This window comes from Homo sapiens, chromosome 2 (genome assembly GCF_000001405.40).
Source record: "Homo sapiens chromosome 2, GRCh38.p14 Primary Assembly".
Taxonomy (NCBI): domain Eukaryota; kingdom Metazoa; phylum Chordata; class Mammalia; order Primates; family Hominidae; genus Homo; species Homo sapiens.
Window position 1 is genome coordinate 147,880,240 of NC_000002.12, and position 25,303 is coordinate 147,905,542.

The 25,303-nt window shown below is 33.9% G+C and overlaps 1 protein-coding gene across 4 annotated transcripts in view; it reads left to right on the plus strand.

The window, feature by feature from the left end:
• ACVR2A (activin A receptor type 2A) overlaps positions 1-25,303 on the plus strand; it is an 86,306-nt gene that overhangs the window by 35,723 nt on the left and 25,280 nt on the right. For 3 of the 4 annotated variants that reach the window (NM_001278579.2, XM_047446292.1, NM_001616.5), the window contains 3 exons: positions 16,062-16,269; positions 19,219-19,328; positions 19,505-19,659. In NM_001278579.2, the coding sequence (NP_001265508.1) occupies positions 16,062-16,269; positions 19,219-19,328; positions 19,505-19,659 (473 nt within the window). The remainder of the gene's footprint in view (positions 1-16,061; positions 16,270-19,218; positions 19,329-19,504; positions 19,660-25,303) is intronic. The other variant, NM_001278580.2, reaches the window with a different exon arrangement.

Sequence of the window (25,303 nt, forward strand, 5' to 3'; positions counted from 1 at the left end):
TATGTTGCTTAGGCTGGTGTTGAACTCCTGGGTGTAATTCTCACACCTCTGCCTTCCAAAGTATTGGGATTACAGGCATGAGCCACTGTGCCTGGCCCCAGTGACATTTTTTAATGCCAACTCAGGATACTTCAATCATTTTTTTATATTTCTTTATTAATCTTTTTATTTTCTAAAGTCAGTTTTAAGACAAAAATCTACTCTTTCCAGAGGTATTAACATGATTTTAAAAATAATAAAGTACCTTGATAAAGATGTATACTTGAAATCCTCTGTCTTTATGATCTTCTAGTTACTTGTCTATCATTCCTTCCTTCTGTCTTACCTTGCAGGATAAATTAGAATAGGCCTTAGTTGAGTTTCAGAATTATTGAAAGATTTGTGAGTTCTTTTACTTTCTACTTGTTGTGTCTTTTGAAAATTGAGCTTCTCATTTTTCTCTTCCTTTCAAGAAGTTAGCTATTTCTCAAACTTTGGAATTACTTTTTTACTATTTCTGCTTAATACCTAGGTTGTCAAAGTGCCTGCAACTAGTATGACAGCATTAGATATTTGTTGAATGCAGAAGATGCTGTACCTGTGTGAAAGACCTAGTGTCCTCTAAGATTTCTTGTAGCATGTCACCAGAATAGATTTCAAAGTGTCCTGCCCAGGGGTGGAAGGGCTAGAAAGGGTAAAATTTTCTCATTCTGAAGGGGAAAACACTGGGCTCCTATTTTTCCCTCTTTGTTTAATGGAAATCTATCCCTTTTATAATGTTATGAGAAGCTTACTTATATTGGTTAAAATGAGAAGAAAGCAGGTCTTTTCTTAAAACCATTTCCCCTACCCCATTTTTAATTATTAAAAAGGCACAGGGAAGTTGAGATCTGGAACATTTTCAGGCTTTCTTGGCCTGTCCTAGCAAAGCAGTCCTAAATGTGGTCCCAGGTGTTATTCAGTTGAATGATAAATCCGAAGTTTTGTGATTTGCTCTTTTCCTGGTTCCTGTTGTTCTATATATACTTTTTGTATTTAGGGAAGTGAAGTTTTTTGATAGTTGATTTTAAAATCAGTGTCTTTATTCTGGGCTACCAACCAAATAATAACAATTTGAAGTATATTTCTTCCCAAAAAGATGTCAAGTCATTTCTTAAGAGTGTTAGAACAGTTACCTTTAAAGATGAAATGATTCTTGGTTCTGATGCCTTCATATTGTAATTTTTCTGCCTGTACATCAGTGTGTCTGTATCTGTGACTTGAATTTTTTTTTTCTTTCCTTTAGGTCTTTTTGGAGAAAACATTATAATGGATGTCTAGTTATTTAGTAATTGAATGCAGGTTAGTTAGCATCTTTTTTTTTCTCCTCTCAAGAAGCTGCTTAGTGTGTGTGTGTGTGTGTGTGTGTGTGTGTGTGTGTGTGTATGTGTGTGTGTGTGTGTGGTTTTTTTTATATTAGATTGACAGGGCCTAAAATGTTGCATTGCCAATATAGAAATTTTATTTGAAAATTTATTCTTTTTTCATATATCTAACTTGTCTATCATTAAGTTTGTGAGAGGATAGGACAAAAAGATGCTAACTAACCTGCATTCAATTACTAAACTAAGTAACAACAAGCCCTATGTAGAGTATCTTCTGTATTTAGAGAAAGGTTTAAGAAATTTAAGTCCTCTAAAAATTTTGTTAATACAAAAATGTACCGTTTGTGTTGAACTGGATCTACAATTTAAGTGAATTAAGAAACAAACTATTAAGAATTATTTTAAAAGGATGGTTGCTTGTCTCTTTTATAAAAGGAAATTCTACCATTACAAATTTGCCACTCTCTTTGGGACTCTAAAACTTTTATGTTGAGGCATTTTAAGAAAGAGATTTGAGAAATTGATTGAGTTATTCAAATTTTGGTCTGTATCCAGGTAGATATATATTTATTTGGAGCCATCTATGTGGGGATAATTAGTCATTTAAGTGTTAACAATATTGAAATACGTTTTGGATGCTTGCCTTTGTAATTTGTCAGGAATTAACATTAGAAGACCTTAAATAACGCTGGATGCAGTTGCTCATGACTGTAATCCCAGCACTTTGGGAGGCCCAGTGGGGCGGATCACTTGAGGTCAGGAGTTCGAGACCAGCCTGGCCATCATGGCGAAACCCTGTCTCTACCAAAAATACAAAAATTAGCTGGGTGTGGTGGCGTGCGCCTGTAATTCCAGCCACTTGGGAGTTTGAGGCAGGAGAATCGCTTGAACCTGGGAGGCAGAGGTTGTAGTGAGCCGCTAAGATTGGGCCACTGCACTCCAGCCTGAACAACAGAGTGAGACTCTGTCTCAAAGGAAAACAGCAACAAAAAGAAGTCCCTAAGTAACTAGTGGTTAAATGTTGACTTCCAAGTATTTTTACTCTCCTTACACATGCCACATGCACATTGTCTAGTGCCACAACATATAATGTTTATATTTTTAGTTTATTCTGTGCTAGTTGTGCTTTTAGTTTAGTAATAGAAATATATTACTTTAGTTAGATGGATGGAATCTTGTAATGTTTTGTCAGACTGATAGTAAGTACTAAGTATGGGGTATTACAGACAAGAGGAAAAAAAATTTCTGGGAAGAAAGCCAGACAATGTTTGTGTTTTCCTTTAGAAGTGATTGTTTGGTGGTGGGAAGGGGCTTAGTTTAAAAAAAAAAAATTAGATTGACAGGGCCTAAAATGTTGTATGGCCAATGCAGAAATTTTATTTGAAAATTTATTCTCTTTCTTCATATATCTAACTTGTCTATCAAAAGTCTTTTGGGACAGTGTGGACTTTATGATAACTTTTGAACAGTGTTACCTTTCATAATGCTTAAAAGCAACCCAGGGCAGCCAAATAGGAAAGGTGACTGCCTCTAGGATGTGTATCAATATAGAAAAGAAAAGATATCAAAAGACTCAATGTGTAGTAAAATGAGTTTTTTTGTTTTTGTTTTTGTTTTTGTTTTTTGAGACGGAGTTTTGCTCTTGTTGCCCAGGCTGGAGTGCAATGGCACGATCTCAGCTCACCACAACCTCCATCTCTCAGGTTCAAGCAATTCTTCTACCTCAGCCTCCCGAGTAGCTGGGATTATAGGCGCACGCTACCACACCCAGCTAATTTTTGTATTTTTGGTAGAGACAGCGTTTTGCCATGTTGGCCAGGCTGGTCTAAAACTCCTGACCTCAGGTTATCTGCCCGCCTTGGCTTCCCAAAGTGCTGGGATTACAGGCATGAGCCACTGTGCCTGGCAAAATGAGTTTTCAAGTAGGAAAGAAACTACATAATACACAAAAGTAATAAACAAGACATTGAGATTTTTTTTTAATACTCATAATCTTGCTTCTTAAAAGTTGAAGCAACATAGTTATGAAAAAAACTGTTGGTGATTATGGCCTGTTAAGTGATTCTATATCCATTGTTATTTAAGGTCATTATGAATTATCAGCTTACCATCTTCTACTGTATTTAAAGCTACTCTAATATATATTGTTAATTTTCTTCATTAGCTGGTTTTAAATGACCAAATATTGCTTTGATGGAAATGTTTGTGATGAGGTTTTTGTGCTTTGTTTTATTTTTGTTTTTCAAATTTCTCACTCTTAACATTGCTGGTTCCTCAAAGATGATTTCACATTATCTTCATAGCAAGCAGAAGTGATCCATTTTTACTCTTTCTGTGACAGATTGATGTTTTATTAAAAAGAGGGCCTGCATCTTCCTAAGTAAAATAAAGCACTAAACAAACCCTTAATGTAGGTAGTGTCTTTTCAGTGTAATTGACACTTTTAGGTTGGTTTTTGCAGGAACTAGTAGGAACTATTGTGTGCATGTTTGTTTCCTTAATTTTTTTAGAAGCTCTGTTCTGATTTTGAGAATTTACCTTTTATCTCTTATTCTTCTAAATTTATGCCCGATTTTGTTTTTTTGTGCATTTAAAAAACTAGCCTATAAATTCTGTTGCAAGTATTGGCCTCTAGCTGCAGTCACCATTATCCCTTCTCCCCGCAAAGAAGAACATCTAATGTTAGAAATCTGTTTTGCACAGCCTAGTTAAAACTTGTATTTACTTGTACCTGTTTTGATGTAATTCATCTTATGAGTTAGGGCCAGAGAACTGCATGGAACTATTTTAATCTTAAAACCCGGGCATTTGTAGATACTCTACACATTTTGTGGCTGTAGGCAAAAAGAATTTTCTGTTGTGTGTTAGGTATTTTTGAAGATGCCTAACTTATTCTGGGCAATATACAGTGTATCTTTCATGACAGTAAGACTAAAATATTAGGAAGATAATTAGCAGTGAAGTGAAGCATAGGATAATTATGTATAGAAGCAAGCTTTGTTTTCTCAGAAGTTTATAAGATAAAACATTTAGAAACAGCTAACTACCCAACCCAATAAACCAAATCATTTTTATCTTTTAGTTTCTTATGCTTAGGGAAAACAAATAAGGGACTGTGGAAGGCAAAAGCTTCATCTCTGTATTCTAATTTGACAATGCATTTGATACCTGTGGCCTTTCAGCATAGATATTGTATACCCCTTGTTTTTATTGGGTAGTTAATATAGTGTCCTGAGTTTTGTTCTGTTCCAACAGTTTACTCATTGTTTTCTGATTAATCTTTAAAATACTACCTCTATTCTTTTGATGACTTCCAAACCTCTCCTGGCTATACCCAATACTACAGAATATAGAATGCTGTAGTCCAATGAGGGCAGTCTTGTCAAACACTCTGGTTATTCACAACCCTGTTTATTTGGTCTTCATCTTCCCAACCTCTGTTTAACTTACAGTTCTGTGTCTCCTTAATAGCCCTGCTTTAGTTTCATTTTCTCTGCAAAGCCCTCTTTTTTCTTACTATTCTAGGCCTTGTGAATTGTTGATTTAGTGCAAATGTAACTGAATTCCTATACTGTGCTAGGCACTGATGATACTTCATCTGCATATGTCCAGTATTAAGCAAAGTTTTCTCTAAAAAAAAATTTCTAAAAAAAAGTCATCTTATATTTGAGTCCTTAAAAAGTTTTTCATATTTTGAGCTCTCTCTCAATTATTTTATTTTGAATAGAAGTATAGTATTTGGAGAATATAGAAGAGCTTGAAATGATGTCAGTCAGTACTTGTTTTAAAAGTCTGTAGAGGTTTCCTGAGGGAATAGATAAAAGGGTATAGTAAAAAGTTTAAACAAATTAGAAATTATTTGTGGGCAGGGAGTTATACTCTTATAAGTTGTTGTGAAAAAAGCCTTTACAATCACTTTTAAAAGAGATATGTAAGCAGTTACATTGTGAAGATCATAGTATGTACCTGTAGCACAATTAAAAAACCAACCATCTTAGAATCATGTGAATGGATATTTGTGGCTTGGAAAAACATTTTCAATGATGGTATTATGACTTCTAAAAGTATTGTTTCTCAGAACAACTTAAATGGAAGTAAAGATTATTCACTTCATGATACTTACAGGTCACTCAAAAAGAAAGTAACGAGATGATACTTGGTGAAGATGTAGGTAAAGTTTGAATAAAGTTATTTTGTAAAATTTATGTGCTTTGTGATTTTAAAACATTCATAAGACTAAATTAATAAAAGTATATATTGGACTGTATGATGTACATGGAAAGGTTTGTATATTTCAAATTGGTAAAAATTTAAAAAAAGAACTTTTTATTGGGGAAAATTGGGAAATCCTTTGTGTTGAGATTTGCCTGGTACTCATTTATTTATGGTAGCTTGCAAGTTTCTGGGCAGTAGGATGATTATTAAGCATAGTCAGAGACTGTTAAATAATACCTACTGAACTAATAAAATTTTGTATACATTTACTGATTGATGCCATGAAAGATTGTACTATACCAGAATTTTCCAAGTACCTAAAATCATTCTTTTGTATAGTATTCTTGATACTTAAAAAAAACTATACTGTAAGATGTTTTGGATTAAAACCATCATTCAATTTAATCCATCTTCTATAGCTGATTCTTTGGACTTGTGGTTTGTCCCCAGAGTGGCAGGAGCAATGACACGTGAAAGGGAAACAAGAATTGCTTTTTAAGTTGGATTTATTACATTTGAAACTTCATTAACTCTTCCCAGAGGACTAAGTTGCCTGTGGTAGGCACAAGTTTAGGAAAGAGATTGTTTCATACCTCTTTATACTGTTTCTCAATGACTTTTTGATGATTTCAGACAGCATTAGAATGTTTTTCCAGAAATTCCTCAAATTTGTAAGTTCCCGAAACAGTTCTTATTTTTCTGCTTAACATTGGTTGCATACATAGGAGAATTGTGATAGGTAAGCTAGTCACAGGACTATGAAAGATATTGTCATCTTAATCAGAAAAAAGTGTAGTGAAATTGATAATTGTAAAAGATTTACATTTCATCCACCTGTTTCAAAGAGTAGAGGGAAATCAGTAGTAGTTGAGTTTTTATTCAGTTATAATTTGTTTTTGCATTTTATCATTCATTAAGTACTGTTTGTGTTAAGAACTCAAGTAAGATGGATAGTCTTAGACCCTAGTGGCATCTTTTTTTTTTTTTTTTGGGACGTTTGTTTTACATTGATTTAATTCAAAGCTGCAGACCCCAAAAACTCCTTAATGCCAATGATAAAATTGTTAGGTATTTCATCATATTGAGAATGACACATTCTAAGCAACTATAACTGTACTGTACAAGAAGACAAGGCTGAGTGCTTGGCTCACACCTGTAATCCCAGCACTTTGGGAGTCAGAGGCAGGAGGATCTCTTGAGGCCAGGAGTTCAAGACCGGTCTGGGCAAAATAGCAAGACCTTATCTATACAAAAAATAAAAATAACTAGCAGTATGTGGTGGCACATACCTGTTGTCCTAGTTACTTAGGAGGCTGAGGCAGGAGGATCGCTTGAGCCCAGGAGCTCAAGTCTACAGTAAGCTATGATTGCACCACTGCATTCCAGCCTAGGCTATAGAGCGAGATCTTGTCTCAAAAAAAAAAAAAAGTTTAAAGAAGGGAAACTAGTGAAAATGTGATTAAAGAATGTAATAGATGGAACAGTTTGGGAAAAAAAGAACTCTTTAATTTTATATTAAGCTACATCCAGATATTTTTTGATTGACTACATCTATTTGTCAATTTACCAAATATTAATTGAATGCCTTCTGAGTTTCAAGAATTGTGCTAGATATTAGGGATTCAGTCATGAAAATATTACACTATTTGCTTGCAAGAAGCTGACAGTCTGGTGAAGGACATTCCATTCTATCACCACCTTCTATCTTCTTTCTAAATAAAGACGTGTCAGTTTAGGCCATTCTAACTCATATATCTTCTCTGGTCCTTAAATCAGGTATCTATCATTATTTTTATAAAAATTAATTTTTTAATTGACAAATAATTGCATATATTTATTATCAACATGGTTTGAAATATGTATATGTTGTGGGATGGCTAAATCAAACAAATTAACATATCTATTACCTCACATATGCAGTACTTATTTTTTATGGTGAGAACACTTAAAATCTAACCCCAATGGAATTCTGACATGTAGAAGAACGTATATAGACAACTGATTTAAAAATCAGTGAGTAAATATAAAACAATTACATTGGATTGCAAGAAGTGTGCACTTTGGGAGAAGGAGGAGTCCTGATTAAAAGATTTTTAAGATTTTATTATGCATACCTTGAGAAAACTTGGAAATTGTCACCATATGAGAGGTTTTTCTGGGAGGCTTTCTACAAGAGCTGGGCTTTCTGGAACTACTGGGATAATAGAGTGAGGACATTCAAAATGTATTTGCCTGAACCATGTCTGATTGCTCCAGCTCCATTTGTTGGAAAAGCTATTCCTTTTCCATTGAATTGCCTTTGCTTATTTGTCAAAAACGAATTAGACGTGTTTGTATGTAGATCTCTTTCTGGGTCCTATATCTTTTTCACTGATGTATGTTTCTGTCCCTCTGTCAGTACCTTGCTGTCTTTATTATTGCAGTTACATTTTAAGCCTTAACGTCAGGAAAGCGGGTGGTGATTTCTCCCACTTTATTATTATTTTTCAAAAAAGTTTAGAATATACTTGTTTACAGTGAAACTTGCTGAGATTTTGATATGAATTGCATTACACCTATCCATCAATTTAGGGAGAATTGACATCTTTATGTTCAATCTTCCAATCCATGAACAGTTTGTCTTTCCAAATGTTTAGGTTTTATTTGATTTCTTTCATCAGCATTTTAAAATTTTAATCATAGGGATCCTATACATGTTTTGTTAAATTATACCTAAGTGTTTTATTTTTCTTCAGAGCAACCGTAACTGGTGTTGCATTTTTAATTTTAGTTTCACTTGTTCATTGTCACCAAATAGAAATGCAATTGATTTTTGTGTTTCGTTCATCTATCCTGTGACCTTACTTAATTCGCTTATTAGTTCGGGGGCTGCTGCTGCTGCTTCTTTTTTTTTTTTTTTTAAAGATTCCTTCGGAATTCCTCCGTATACCAGCATGTCATCTGCAAATAGAGGGAGTTTTATTTCTTCCTTTCTAGACAGTATGCCCTTAAGTTCTTTTCCTTGCCTTATTGCAGTAGTTACAACTTTCAGTACTGTGTTTCAGTACTGTGTTAGAGTGTTGAGAGTGAAATTGTTGACTTGTTTCTGAGCTCAGCAAAAACATTTGTTGTTTCACTGTTAAGTATGACATCAACTGTAGGTTTTTTGGTAGGTGCTTTTTATGACATTGAGTAAGTTCCCTTCTATTCCTAGTGTACTGATAGTTTTTTTTTTATTGTGAATAATATTCAATTTTATCTAATGCTTTTTCTGCAACCACCGATATGACCATATGATTTTTCACTTTTAGTCTGTTGATTTGTTAGATTGTGTGATTGATTTTTGAATCTTGAGACAGCCATGTATGTCTGGAGCAGATCCCACTTTGCTGTGATGTAATACTTTTAAAAAATATATTGTTGGATTCTCTTTGCTAAAATTTTGTTGAGGACTTTTGCACCTAAGTTAATGAGAGATACCGGTCTGTGTTTTTCTTTTTGGGCTTTGTTTTTGATATCGAGATGATACTGGTCTCATAAAATGAGTTGGGAAGTCTCTTTTGTTTCTGGAAGAGGTTGTATAAAATTGGTGTTGATATATTAATCATGTTTTTAAAAAACAAAACTTGAATTGTCCTCAGATACAGTTGCTTGAGGTGAAAATTTTCTCATAGAAGTAGACTTTTGGCCGGGCGCAGTGGCTCACGCCTGTAATCCCAGCACTTTGGGAGGCTGAGGCGGGCAGATCACAAGGTCAGGAGATTGAGACCATCCTGTCTAACACGGTGAAACCCTGTTTCCACTAAAAATACAAAAAAAAATTAGCCAAGCTTGGTGGCTGCCGCCTGTAGTCCCAGCTACTTGGGAGGCTGAGGCAGGAGAATGGCATGGACCCAGGAGGCGGAGGTTGCAGTGAGCCGAGATCGCACCATTGCACTCCAGCCTGGGCGACAGAGTGAGACTCCGTCTCAAAAAAAAAGAAGTAGACTTTTGCAGAGTTATGGTAAAACATTTTACCAAATTTCAGATTCTGTGTATTGCTATTTTTTTTTTAATGGTAGGAAGAATGAAGCAGTCAGTACTAGTCAGTAAACCATAAGCAGTACTTTGAATATAGAACTATTATATAAATTAACTCATACTAGATTATGTGATTAGACTTACTGATTTACTGTAAACTGAGTGTGAATTATGGTTCTGGAAAAGAATTTGGAAATTGAATCAATCTGCTTGATTTTACAGATGCGGAAACAAGGTAGTGAGGGGTTTGGTACCTTGTCCAAGGTCACAGTTTGTGAAACAGATTCCAGATTCAGGCCAACTCTATTAAGCCAGTGGGTTTTACATAGGGAGGAACATTAGATTACCAGTGGGTCTTTGCAGAAAAACAAAAACAACAACAAACCCCACACATGTGCATATACTATATTCTGTATACATTAGAAGTAGCAGCCCTTCTTCTATAGAATACAGGTGAGACAGATTACCAGAGGAGTTTGCAGTATGTCAGTTCATGCTATTTTTTCTTCCGTAGTTGAGAGGAAGTCCATGGCACCATTAGTATAGTGTGTGTGTGTGTGTGTGTGTGTGTGTATACACACATACATGTACTCTTTATATATAGTAGCATGTATATATATAGTGTATGTATGTGTATATTTATATATATTCTCAAAATAAACTTTTCAGCTCCCCATTCCCAGGACCTACATAATGGCACTCAGACATATGAATGTGAGAAAATATAGAGGGGATTCTGATGCACATCATTGGTTAAGAACTGCTGTACTAAACCCTGCACGCAAACCTTTTATACTTATTTATTTCTTTTGAAAATGTCAGTAGTAACTATTTAGAGTTACTTTGATAGAATAAACCTATGGGTAGAGATTTAAAGTTTCAGAAAATTTTAAATTGGGAGATGTCGTTAAAACTTAATATACATAAATAACCATGCCATCCTTTTTAGAACTACACCTTTAAAGTTGTAATGTAAGCTTAAGAATATAAAAATACATATAATTTACTTATTTTTATAATCATGATGTTACTATATTGAGTTTTTTTAGAGACTTGATGGGATAGAGACTGATTGCAGAATCAGCTTGAGGAGGGGTGGGAAAATTGTCACAGCATTCCCCGTAAGCCATTTTCTTTCTACTTATGAAAAATACCACTCTAGTTTAGATCTAGAAAACCATCCTTAATCCTATCTACCTTAAAAAATGGTGGAAATATCTTTTTAATAAATAAAATGGCCCTTTGTTTATCTTTTTTCTAGACTAGGATGGCAAATACAAGACACTAATGCTGCTCCCCTTCCCTTCCAATACTATGAAATCCTCTCTAAAAATATCCTCAAAATCTTTCTTGGTATAGTGCCCTAGGCAGCCATTACTAACGCTGATTGGAATTGACTCCGAAGGTAAAACCTATTTGGCACTTTTGCTCTAGGCAGTGTTCAATTTTTTTGTCAGTTTTGTTTAGTTTTTGGGGTGTTCCTATGCCTGAGTGGGATTCTTCTTTTGGAAATTGGAAATAGTTGCATAGTGGTTTTTAACATGAATTAAATAGGTGATAATTCACAGAGCCCCCTTTCCCAACAAAATAAACAAAAGGTAGGTTAGACGGACTATTGGGATTAGGATGTTGTTTTAAGCTAGGAGGTGGCAGACCGCACAACCTATGGGCCAAATCCATCTTGGAGCTAAGAATGATTTTTATATTTTTAGATGGTAGCAAAAAAAAAAAAATCCAAAAAAAGAATAGTATTTTGTGAGTTGTAAAAACTACCAAAAAAATCCAAAAAAAGAATAATATTTTGTGAGTTGTAAAAACTACATGAAATCCAATTTTCAGTGTCCATAAATAAAGTTTTAATGCAACATAATCATGTTCATTCATGTATTGTCTATGGATGCTTTTATGCTACAAGGGCAGAGTTAAGTAGTTGTGACAGACCACATGGCCTGTAAAGCCTGAAATATTTACTGTCTGAATCTTTACATAAAAAAATTGCCATTCCTGTTTTAAGATAACAGTGGGGGCATTGAATATTGCTTTTGTATTATTTGGTAAAGGAGGAAACTTACCTTGCTCATATTTTCAACATGTTTCTGAAAATAATTTAGAAAGTGCCTATTGTTTGCATACAGATAAGTGGTGGTAGCAGCCCTTCTTTTTTTTGTTTTTTTTGTTTTGTTTTGTTTTTTTGAGACAGAGTCTCTTTCTGTTGCCCAGGCTGGCGTGCAGTGGTACGATCTCGGCTCACTGCAACCTCCACCTCCTGGGTTCAAGGGATTCTCCTGCCTTAGCCTCCTGAGTAGCTGGGATTACAGGTGCGCGCCACTATGCCCAGCTAATTTTTGTATTTTTAACAGAGAAGGGGTTTCACCATGTTGGCCAGGCTGGTCTCAAACTCCTGACCTCATGATCCGCCTGCCTCGGCTTCCCAAAGTGCTGGCATTACAGATGTGAGCCACCGTGCTGGGCCCATTCTTTTATACACGGTTGAGATGGAGTTACCAGAACATAGTTTGCACTGTCAGTTCATGCTATAATTTCTTCCACAGTTGAGAGGAAGTCCATGGCACCATTACTGCCCACAAATACTGGCAACTTATAACTACATCTCTGTGCTAGTATATTGTAGAACCACTGTTCTCAAACTTTTTAGTCTCAGGACTTCTTTAGAGCTCTTAAAAATTAAAGACCCCAAAACTTTTTTAAAATAGTAATATATATCAATATTTACCATATCAAAAATTAAAGAAAATGTTTAAATATTAACTTATTTAAAATAGCAATAATAATCCATTATGTGTTAGTAAAGAACAAGTTTTTATGAAAAATATTTTCCAAAACAAAAAATTAGTAAAATTACAGTCTCTTAATGATTGTTGTAGTAGAAGAAAACTGGATTATTGTATCTGTTTCTCCGTTCAGTTTTTGTGATATGTTATTTTGATTGAAGCATATGAAGGAAATCTGGTCATACACAGATACATAGTTAGAAAAAAAGGAATAGTATTTTAATAATTTTTTTTTTTGGTGTGACTGTTTTTCTTTGATATCATACCATAACTCAAGATATGGTAGTTTCTTTTCTATTGTTTTTTTTGAAGTCAGTTTTATTTACATAGAATAAAATGTGCTTTTTTAGATATGCAATTCCATAAGTTTTGATTAGAATATATGAACCATACATATTATACAATCATAATACACCCTAGTCAAGGCGTGGTGTTCCTATTTCCTTCATCCCACAAAGTTTCCTCATGCCCTTTTGTAATCACCTCCTTTTCCCTCACTCCCAGCTTCTGGCAATCTCTGAGCTGATTTCTGTCTGCCTTTTCCAGAATATTATGTAAATGGAATCATACGGGACAGCCTTTTGAGTCTGTCTGCTTTCACTTAGCATAATGTTTGAGATTCATCCATTTTGTTGTAGGTATCACTAGTTCATTCCTTTTTTATTGTATGGATATTTGCTTCTCCATTCACCATTGATGGACATAGGAGTGTTTTTAGTTTTCAGAGATTATCAATAAAGCCACTCTGAACAGTCATCTACAGATTTTTACATGGACTTATGTTTTTATCTCACGTAGATACCTACACATGTGATTGCTGGGTAGTATGGCTGGTGTATGTTTTAACTTTAAGAAGCTGTAAAGCTGTTTTCCAAAGTGACTGGGCCATTTTGCTCTACCACCATCAATATGTGAAAGTTCTAGTTGCTCACATTTTCAGCAATACTTGATATTGTCCGTTTGTGTTTTTGTTTTGTTTTAGCCATTCTAATTAGTGTTAGTATTTCATTGTAGTTTTAGTTTGCATTTCCCTGATGATTGATAATATTGGGTAGCTTTTTTCAAAAAAAATTTTTATTCTTTGCTCTTTGGCAAAGGACCTATTTGAATCTTTTGCCCATTTAAATAATTGGACAGTGTTTTTTCCTATGATTGACTTGTAAGAGGCCGTTATATTTTCTGAGCATCAGTCCTTTTTTAGAAATGTGTTTTGCAAGTATTTTCTTCCAGTCTGTGACTTTTTTCATCCCCTTAGCCTTCAAAGAGTAGAAGTTTTCATTTTAGTGAGGTTCAGTTTATCGGTTCTGTCTTTTTTGTAGGTCATATGTGTTGTTCTAAGAAATCTTTCGTAATTCAGGGTCACAAAGATTTTTCATGTTTTCTTTTGGAAGTTTAATAGTTTCAGGTATTATTTTAGGTCTATGATATGTTTAGAATTAATTTTTGTATATGGCGTGATATATGGGTTGAAGTTGTTTGTTTTTTCTTTTTGTGTATGGATATTCAATTGCTCCAGCATCTGTGGTTGCTACGACTATCGTTTTTCTATTGAATTGCCTTGACATCTTTTCTCTACATCAGTTGACCATTTATATGTGGGTCTATTTCTGGGTTCTCTGTTCTGTCCCATTGATACATGTTTCTGTCTTTTCACTATAACCATACTGTTTTTATTGCTGAAGTTTTATAGTAAGTCTTAAAATCAGTTAGTATGAATTCTCCTTTGTACTTCTTTTTCAGAATTATTTTGGGTATTCCAGTTTCCTTGTTTTTCAAATAGACAAGACATAATTTTGTAAATGCTAGTTGCAGTGGGGAAGCTGAAACCATTGATGAACTTTTTGTCTTTTGTAACATTAAAGTCTGCTTTGTCATGCACATTGAGTGGATTTTTTTTTAACCCATGAATACTTTTGTAATATCACAATTCATTTGGAAAATATTGGTTCTCTGAATTATGTAGACTTTCTAAATACTGTCACATTTCATTATTCAATATTTAAAAGTCACATTTATTGATATCACCACTGATCTCATCAGAAAATTCTTTTGACTATTGGAAAGGTTGACACCATCACCTATTGCTGATGGTAGTAGATAAAAATTTTCAAAATTTTTATTTTTTGCTTGAAAACTTAAATTTTATCATTGGAAACGCATACTTGTTAGTTGCCTTTCTTGAAGTCACAGGTTCACTTGGTTTACTTTTGAGAACATGCCTGTCAGATACCCAAGTCTAAATAGCCATAGGTTGTTAGTTTACAACTCAGTCATACGTGGGCTTTTTCTTGAGGCAACCATTGTACAGTTGATCCTTGAATAACAAGGGTCTTAATTGTGTCAGTCTACACATATGTGGATTTTTTTCAATAAGTATGTTGGAAAAGGCTTTGGAGATTTGGGACAATTTGAAAAAACTCACAAATGAACTTTTTAGCCTAGAAATATTGAAAAAATTAAGAAAAGATATATGTCATGAATGCATAAAATATATGTACAAACCAGTCTTTTATTATTTGCTACCATAAAATATACGCACATCTATTATAAAAAGTTAAAATTTATCAAAACTTACATACACACTTACAGACCATACATGGCACAGTTTGCAGTTGAGAGAAATGTAAACAAATGTAAAGATACAGTATTAAATTATAATTGCATAAAATTAACTATAGTACATAGTGCACTACTGTAATAATTTCATAGCCACCTCCTGTTGCTATTGCGGTGAGCTCAAGTGTTGCAAATATCTACTTACAACACCATATGATGCTAATCATCTCAGCTTGAGCAGTTTGTCTCTCCAGTAAATTGTATATCACAGTAAAAAGTGATCTCTTGTGGTTCTAGCATATTTTTCATTGTGTTTAGTGCAATGCCGTGAACCTTGAATAACACCTTGGGACCCATACAAAGTGCCACTCTTGGTACTGGAATTGCTCCTGAGAAGAGAAAAGTCTTGACATTACAAGAAAAAGTGGAATTGTTTGATACATACCATAGATTGAGGTCTGCCGTTGTGGTTGCCATTTATGATTTATTTTGTGAACAGAAGGTGTAAACTTACAGTATCGATAAATACAGTTCAGTACTGTAAATGTATTTTCTGTTCCTTATTTTTAAAATAATATTGTCTTTTCTTTAGCTTACTTTAGTGTAAGAATTTAGTATATAATATGTATAACATAGAAAATATGTGTTAATCGACTGTTGATGCTATTGGTAAAGCTTCTGGTTAACAGTAGTCTATTGGGAAAGTTTTTGGGGAGTCAAAAGTTACACACTGATTTTTGTTTGTGCAAAGCCAGTGATCCTTACCCCTGAGTTGTTAGGGGTCAACTGTAGTCACTATGCAGCAGAGTTATGTTTGCTTAGTTTTTGTCCCACACAATATTAAAAAGTAGTCTACTCAAGGGCCAAGGTTTCATAAAATTAACAATTTCTGTGGCTTTTCATCAAGGACATTCTCAAGTGAAGTGAAACTAGTGGTGTTCAGAGAAATACTGTGATATATATGGTTATTTCCTATTATAATGGCTATTTTTATATTTAAAGTACAGGGATTAACCTGGAAACCTAAACCCAAAGTTATAAGTGGGAAGACGGTGAATTACTGACACTTTAGGAATACCTAAAGTTGCTATCTTGGGAAACAGTCTTTTATTTTAACAGATAATGTGGTTATATTATTGTTTTTATTATCTTATAGGTGCTATACTTGGTAGATCAGAAACTCAGGAGTGTCTTTTCTTTAATGCTAATTGGGAAAAAGACAGAACCAATCAAACTGGTGTTGAACCGTGTTATGGTGACAAAGATAAACGGCGGCATTGTTTTGCTACCTGGAAGAATATTTCTGGTTCCATTGAAATAGTGAAACAAGGTTGTTGGCTGGATGATATCAACTGCTATGACAGGTAAGAACACATTTAAGATTTTATGGTAGTATTGAGTAATTTTCACACTTCCCCTCTTTTTGAAAGGGGAAAGATCAGTGCATAAATTTTCACTTAAATGTTTCTTGCTTTTTAAAAAATGGGATTATAAAGAACATTATAACATGCTGTAATGACAGTATATTTTAAAGTAATAAACATGGCATATATATGTTTTATCTTTGATATATTTTGAATAATCTACCCAGTAGTGAGAACTCTGAAATAAAAACCATTTTCCCCAATATTGTTACGATTATAAACTTTTAAAATGCCAGTTTTAAGGAAAACATTTAAAAAATTACTTTAAAAGAGTATATCTGTTGAAAATCTGTCCTCAAGAAGAATAAAACTTAATCATGTGTTTAATTTTCTTTCAGTTTCCTTCTTTATGTATCTGGAAGAAATTGATCTTACTACATTCCCCCCTCCCCCCGCCCCTTTTTTTTTTCTTGCAAAGTAGGCCTTTCGCTCTTTACCCGAAGAGACTTTTTATTTTTGAGACAGATTTCGCTCTTGTTGCCCAGGCTGGAGTGCAATGATGCAATCTTGGCTCACCGCGACCTCCGCCTCCCGGGTTCAAGCAATTCTTCTGCCTCAGCCTCCCAAGTAGCTGGGATTACAGGCATGCACCACCATGCCTGGCTAGTTTTGTATTTTTAGTAGATACAGGGTTTCTCCATGTTGGTCAAGCTGGTCTCGATCTCCCGACCTCAGGTTATCCGCCTACCTCAGCCTCCCAAAGTGCTAGGATTACAGATGTGAGCCACCATGCCTGGTCTACCCCAAGAGACATTTTAACTTGACATTCAGAATTTCATCAGAACTAACAGTCCTCAAACTACATACTTGTTTTAATTGCTTTACTCTGTACTGGAAGTAAAATACAGTGGTCATGTTATTGACTGCCTGTGATCTTTCTGTATGGAGTCCCATAGCTGTTAGGGTGATCCCTTAACTGCCTGGGCCACAGGATTTCTACTGTGGGTAGGTGCTGAAGACAGGCAGAAGCTGTGAAGTCCTAGATAAACAGACATTTTGGAGCCAAAAAGTACTGCTGTATACAGTGAACACTAGATACTTCTGGATCACTTTTGAGAGCCTCAGTTGATTACCTGGAATCTGTGTTTGATTAGCTGTATGTGACTAAGAGCAAAATGCATTGAATAGGCCCTTGAAAATTGGATTAACTACACTTTTTGTGAGAAATTACAACACAGTCATTTAGATTTAGATATATATTTCGTATTTAGAATGTACTTCTAAGTATGTGAATTTTCCAGGGATTATTTCTATGTACTTATATATTTTAGCTGCATTTCTGATTATCAGCCTCTGCTAACAGAAGTGGTCAAGTGATATGTGCTGTTACGAAAGGTACACAGGAAGAAATTGGGGAAAAATGAGTTTGGGAATCATCTTTATCCCAAACTATCTTTTATCATTTAGTTGGAATCAGGGATTCCTATTCTTTTTTGTAGTAGAAAACTACTTTGCTCTTTACCTAAAGACAATACTCCAGCTATGTGAGACTCGGATAGTGCCAAAAAGAGTAGTGAGCCATTTTCACTGGAGTCTGCAAGTGTGTTATTCATTGCAAATACTTGCTCTTAGAATGGTAATTACTATACCATCTTTGTGTCTGGAGGTTAAATGCTAATTTTAAACTATAAAATTTTGTTTTTATACTCTAAATTTGATTGAAAACAAATAGGATAGTAAGAGAAGTAAGAGGAAAAGAAGATTCAAGAATTGTCAAAGTGTGGAAGAAAAGAAAATGATAAAAGAAGAATGAAATTGAATGGTGAAAAGTAACTTTATTGAATTAATTAGGCTAAGTAATCATGTTAATCTGTTGTAATTTGAGACATGATTTTAAATATGTTTTTAAATTTATATATTTCTCTTTATAAATTGTTAAAATTTAGCTTTCATTTATCTTTAAAAACCTCCTGCCAAATAGATGTTGATGTTGAGTATATTTTAGTTTGATTTTGTTAAAACTCCTATCTCCCTGAAATTTCTTCAGCTTTTCACTTAAGAATTAAATTCTACCTTATTATTCTGACAACTATCAAAAAAGTTCAGTTTGTTATTAAGATACATCTTTTAAGTTCATCTGATGTTGATTTTTTTTAATAGTTTTAGCTGTTTATTAGTGGCTGATTAGGATTTGTTCTAGAGGCTAAATCCAGGTCTTTTCATGACTTAAGGTCCTATATAAAAGGCTACTTTATTTTTATTTTTTTGGTTTAATTCTAATCCGTTTGAGTTAGTAGGTGCTATGTGATTATTGTTTACGTGTTTGTTTTCTACTTATTGCTGCTCATCTCAACCCTGTTCATTGCATTCAGGGAATTTAAATCTACACTCTAAAAAACAGTGACAGTATTAATTTCTCAGCCTAGTTTGGGTTTCTGATGTTGAAATGTTTCACCCATGAGATACGAGCTTTTATCACTTAGCATGTGTGTATGTATTTATATGTATACATACACACACATACACAGTTTTATATATAGTTTTCAGTTTTTGTATTCACAGAATGGAAATGCCATATTTCCTGTGAGCAAAAGCACTCTTTGACCAAATTGCCTCATTGACTTTATGTCCTCTTCAAGCTTTTCTAATAATTAAAAAAATAAAAAAAGATGCTTGCCTTAGGTTGCTCATTAAAAACCAAATTACAGCAATAGTCTCTAGTAGTCAGTGTGATTGTTATAAAATCAGTTGTTAATTTTTTTTTCTTAAGAGATTTAGTAACAGGAATCCAGGAACATTTTTGGTTTTTAAGAATTATTAGATATAAATACGAATCTTGAAGTTGAATATAAATGACTAATTTATTATTTTATTGCAGAATAAAAACACTTGTTGTAGGGTCAGTATAATAATATTGATTTTAATTATTTTTTCTCTGCTTATTTATAGGACTGATTGTGTAGAAAAAAAAGACAGCCCTGAAGTATATTTTTGTTGCTGTGAGGGCAATATGTGTAATGAAAAGTTTTCTTATTTTCCGGAGATGGAAGTCACACAGCGTAAGTTCACAGGGAAAATACGTAGGTTTGCTCAACTGTAGATTGGAAACAAAATATATTTGTGTTGATGGAATAATTTGCCCCTACCTCTTCCCCAAAATTTGAGACTATGACAGATATTTATTATAGAATTTTGTAGACCAAATCTGAGTTATTTTTCCCCCCCTTTTCCACAGCCACTTCAAATCCAGTTACACCTAAGCCACCCTATTACAACATCCTGCTCTATTCCTTGGTGCCACTTATGTTAATTGCGGGGATTGTCATTTGTGCATTTTGGGTGTACAGGCATCACAAGATGGCCTACCCTCCTGTACTTGTTCCAACTCAAGTAAGTTATTGTCCTGTACTTTGTAGTGTTTTAAATTGTATATTTTTGAGAAATATTACTGTGGTGAAACCCACTAACTTATTACAGATTATTTTCCTTTGGAGTTAATTTTTGAATGTTTATTGTCATGAGAACTCTAGCTAACTTTGCAAACTTATTAATGTACCTACCGTGTCCTTAACTTTTCTCACTTTAGGGTTGAGGTCGAGTAGAATGAAGGGATATTCCCATTTCTATTCCTCTTTGGAGAGTTTTACTCTCATGCTAACACTAACCTGCTTTGCTTCTTGAGAAGTCATTTATGATGGAGAAGTGAAATCATAACCCTGTCTTTGCCCTCTGTCCCCTCCTCCATTTCTAGATTTCTGTGCCTTTTTCAAGACCACTTGGCAAAACATTTTATCCATGGGGATAGACTTAGGAAAGTAACCAAAAAAGTATAGAAAAGAGAGGTTTCATAAAGCCTTCAGGAAGATACCTCCATAAAGATGTTTTTGTAGGGAAGAGGAGCAGAAAAGTAACCTTTCTTACCATATGTTGTTGGTAGATCAAGTATTTTTTTTGGTTGCCTCATATCAAGTGTGTACTGAAGACTAAACACTTCTTTTAAGGCTCTTGATTGTCACACATCACACCCCAAATATTTCTGGAAATATAGGTGTGGAGAGTAATCAGATTAAATTCATTAAATTTTCTACATTCTCTTATCATGTAGACACTTTGTGCAGGTCTGGTATTTATAAGGACTTTTCATGGAAGTAGTTAGTATTCTACAGGTCTACGAAAACTGATAACTTTTGGTTTTACTTGCTTGAGACATCTCTGAATTGTAGTTTTTACTGTGTTTCTTTTAACTCTTAAGATCACATTACCTCAGCCTTCTGAATCTCTTGGTGTAACTTTGCTTCTTTAATACCAGAAGGATTAATGGTTAAAACTTGATAGAAAAAAATGGCAAAGTCCTATAATTTAATGACCAAAACAACTCCTTCCCTCTAAGCTTTATTTATATAACACATTTATTTCTCAGCGCTTGCAGCAATCTGTTAGCATTAGATCATGGATTCCCATAATCCTTGTAAGATGTGTATATAGAGAAATAAACCCAAAGGTAAAATACCATGTTCGGTAATTAGGTAAACATTATTTTGTACACCTTGAGTATTTTAACTTTTAAACAGTAGTAGCTAAGTTTGTGTTCATTAAGAATCATTTCTAAAAAGTGTTTTAAAATAAAAAGTTTTAGTACCTAGTCTATGTAGTTTACTCCAAATGGCCATAGGATACACTTTACCTTCTGTCAGTGATAACTTTTAAAAAATTTGTTTTAGTATCAAAATTTAGAAGAGAGAGTATTCAGTATTATAATAGTTTCCTCAGTTTACCAGATCTGTGATATGCTAGGAACAAGCTGGGAACCACATTTATAAATAAATTTGTTAAGGTTTTTATAGGAGGAGTTTTAAAATGTAATCTTATAGATAACACTGATCTGTATACAGTATTGTTACAAAAATGTGCTTAAAGCTTTTCTTAAAGGGCTTTATATCCTATGTATGTGGTCAGTTTTTTAAGAAAGACTAAATAATTTAAGGGTTTGGACTTTTAAAAAGGATTGATGTTATGCATAAATAAGAACCAGGGATTTTCTGTGAGTATCCGTACATCTCTGTGGGTTTTAGATATTTGTTATGGTTAAAGTTACTGTACACATTTATTTAGTACTTACATGCTCTGTCATGAGTTTATATGAATTTGTATGAATTTCTGAAAAATAAGGAAGAAATGTAAAGATTTTGTGATAAAGTCACCTGGTGTGGTCAAGCTTTGGTATGAAAAATACAAGACAGGCCTGACTTTATGCTTTCCTTCTGTCATAAACTATGTTGTGGAAAAGGGGCATTGTCATCAGTGTGGAACTTCACTTTTGTCATCTTTTGCAGTCTCTGAAGCAGTATGGTTTCGTGCTTCAAATCTTGTTTTTGCTGAGAGGTTTATGCAAACTGTTCTGCAAGACCACTTCGTGGCCATCATGTAACAAAAGGCTTAGTTTTATCTTCTATTTCAAAATAATGATAATTACATCAAGCATTTATTGAGCATTTTACAGTGTACTAGGGCACTGTTAAGTTATATTATACATAAAGATATAAATTATATGGGAACATATAAAAAGCATAAAATATTTTTTTTCAATGATTTCCAAGTTGTGAGACTGATTATCATCTTTGGAATTTGTTAAAAAATACAAATTTTGGGACCACACTCCTGAAAGTATGGAATGGGGCATGGGATGTTATGTTTTTAATAAGCTTCCCAGGCGATTCTGGTGACCAGCCAGGTATGGAAAATACTAATTTACTTTCATCTCACAGAGTTGTTTATGTAGTAAAATCTCCATTTTATAGATAGAAAAATCTGACCCAAGGACTCTTTGACACTAAAGCTTTGTTCTTATTACTTACGCTGTTCTGCCTCTTTTTTCATAAAGCACATGCCTTTTGTTTCATATAATTCAGTAAACTTTTCTGCCATCTCAAAATCATCCTGTAGGCTAATTTATTTTCCTTTTGGATATTGAATAATTTGTATGACTACTAAAATGAGGAATAACATCATCTTATGTAAACATTGTCTCACATAGGACAAAAAGAGAAGTAAAGAAGTCATAGATACATAGAAGGGCATATTCATGTGTTTTCCATTAAAAATTTCCAAAAATTCTAAAGTACATTTTGGAATAGGGTTGATGACCCTTTTTAGAATAGGGTTTATAAACATGTGATTGGGCTGTAGATAAAAATATCTGTGCTTGAGTTGATACTGCCAATTCCTATTAAGACTTTTTCGAAGGGTAGGAGAAGTAGGAGAGAGATATTTGAAGTCTTAAAGTGACTTCTGTATTTCACCCCATATTCACGTCCCCATATTTCAACTTTACATCAGTTAGGAAAAGATCTTACAGTCTTGCTGCGGATTTTTGGAACATTCTTCCTCTGGATTCTTTAAGTGCTTTTAGACAGTGCCATAACATTTGTCATTCTTTTTCTTAGGGAGACTTTTTCTCAAAGCTTTGGCTAAAGGATGGTTTGTGAATGAACTGGTCTGTTGTAAGACATTGTTCTCATTATTAGTAAGCTGGTTCTGGCAGTTAGGTGAGGGATTCTTTATGACATCAAATTGTTTAGAATTTTTCCTGGTTGTGTTAGTATTTTGTTCTGAAGAAGTGATGTAGGGGTATAAGTACTTTAAAATCTGGTCTTTCATTATGGTTCCTAGTAACCAATACAAATACAAATTCTAGAATAAATTTAGCACAGTCGAAGGCATAGAAAAAAGCAGTTTTCTGGTCGTTTTTTTTTTTTCATAAGTCCTATATTTCTGTCATTGTTTCATGGTATCACTTTATTCTTATTCATCCTGGATGAAAGCCTTGGAGACAACTATTCTTGGCTCTGTCATTTACCAAGTCCTGTTCATTCACCTTTTCATCCTGATTGATCCTATTGTAGTTCAGGACATTATTACTCCTAAGGCTAAGATTATTTCTATAATCTCAAAGTTGGCCTTCTTGCGTCCATTTCTCTCCCTTCATCTGTACTATTGCCAGAATAGCATTTTACATGTTTGATTATGTTACTTATGTGCTTAAAATATGTGTGGGCTCTCAGTGAGCCACAGCAAAGAATACAAAGTTGGAGCATGACATGTGGTCTTCCATACTCTCTTTGTCTTTTGGTACTTTCTTCCCATTACACCCCAAAACATCTGTCATATGCATCTAACATTGTATTAGTTGTAATCCTCCTTGAAAGATTTGAGAAAATAGTGCTTGGGTCATTCTTTCATTTGTCATTCATATAAATAACCCCAGTTGAGAAGGGCTCATAATGTGTTTTATTCTCCCACTAGATTGTAAGCCTCTTGAAGATGAGATATGTATTGTAATTACTGCTGTGTCTTACACAGTATTTGTATGGAATAATCATTCAGTAAGTGCTGAATTGCTAAATTGAGTTTGTTGCATTTGGAATTATACTGAGATGATAATGAAGTATGTCCAGGGATTCCTTTAATAAACATTCAGGTGCTTTAGGGCTTTGCGTTGAGAGAAATCTTGAGGCCATGATTTTGTGGGGGGCTGTAAAATAAGTTGAAGTATTTCAGGCATTTATAAGAGAATGACATTATTCAGTTCTTTCTGTAATCACAGACTGAAGCATCCTATCTGTTTTCGTTACCCAGCTCACTTTTCTTTTGCCTGTGCTGAAACTATCTTCCCACATATAGGAAGATGCTTTTATAATATGCATTGAGTAAACCGAATGCAAACTGGTTTTTCTAGTGACAGTGAGTCATGAATATGAGGGAATTGATGGACTCTATTATTAAGAAGTCTTATTGTGGTTAGAGTTAATGCAGTTTCAGTAAAATGGCGCCGCTTTCATAACCATATGTGAGCTTGTTTCCTGCTTATAAGATCTATATTTGTGCTGATAAAATACCACTTGATAAGAAATTGAATTTTAAGGGTTAGAAATGACCTACCTTTAACAAGGCACGAAGTTAGCTTCTTGTTTACTTTTAAAGGCTATATAAGTAGCACTTCAGTATTGAAAATTAATTCTTTCTTAAATAACATCAGCCTGTTCAATCTTTATGATAGTTTGTCTAGGTGTGGGTCTGATAAGGACTAAAGCTTTGGGATACCTAAATTAGGCATACAAAATAATCCTTTTGACCTTAGCATTAAAGTGATAATAGGTTGTCATTTCATGCTATGTCAGAGTGCTATTCACTGAGAAACCAAGCCATCTGTGAAAATGCTTTGTAGGATTTTCTTCTTGAACATGAGTTTATGTATTTAAAATTAATAAGAATCTGAAAGGGTAGGAAAACAGTTTTCAGCCAAGTTAATTTAGAAGAGTATACTGCTTCCTTACTGGGGGAGGGTGCAGGAGAAATTTACTAAATTTATTGAGTATTTAATATGCTAATAACAAGTTATACTTACAAAATATTACATTCATAGAAACATGTCTTGAAATAGGTTGACTACTGATTGGAGTTTATGAACACATCTCTTTCTCTTCTGCTTTTTCTCTCTTCATTTAAAATTCTCTTCTAATTAAAAAGTTAATTATAAATACATGCTTGTGGTATCAAGACAAACTGTACAGAAAGACGTATGAAAAAATAGAATCATTTTCTCCTCTTTTCCCTTTCTCTGTCACTTTCCTGAAATAATCAATTTTAACAGATTGGTGTGTATCCCTTGGCACCTTTCTTTAGCCTTATTTTTTTGAGTATATATGTTTTCTTTTTTATAAACTATAAACTATTCCACAACTGGCTTATTTTAATTTAACAGTATATGGACAGCTTTTCAGATTGATATTTTTAATCTTTTGTTTTATTATGTGTTTTTAAGTGAAATGTAATAGAGTTTTATTGTATGCTTATGAAATAGCAAAATTTGATTTTTTGGTAAAAATTTTGTATATTTAAGGTGTACAATGTGATTTTTTTTTTAAGCTTAGAGTTTGTATTAGGTTTCTGCAAAGACAGAACTCACATCTCACAAATATTTGCAACTGTATTGTTTTAGTATGTTTGAAATATGACATAATGCTGTTGTCTTAGG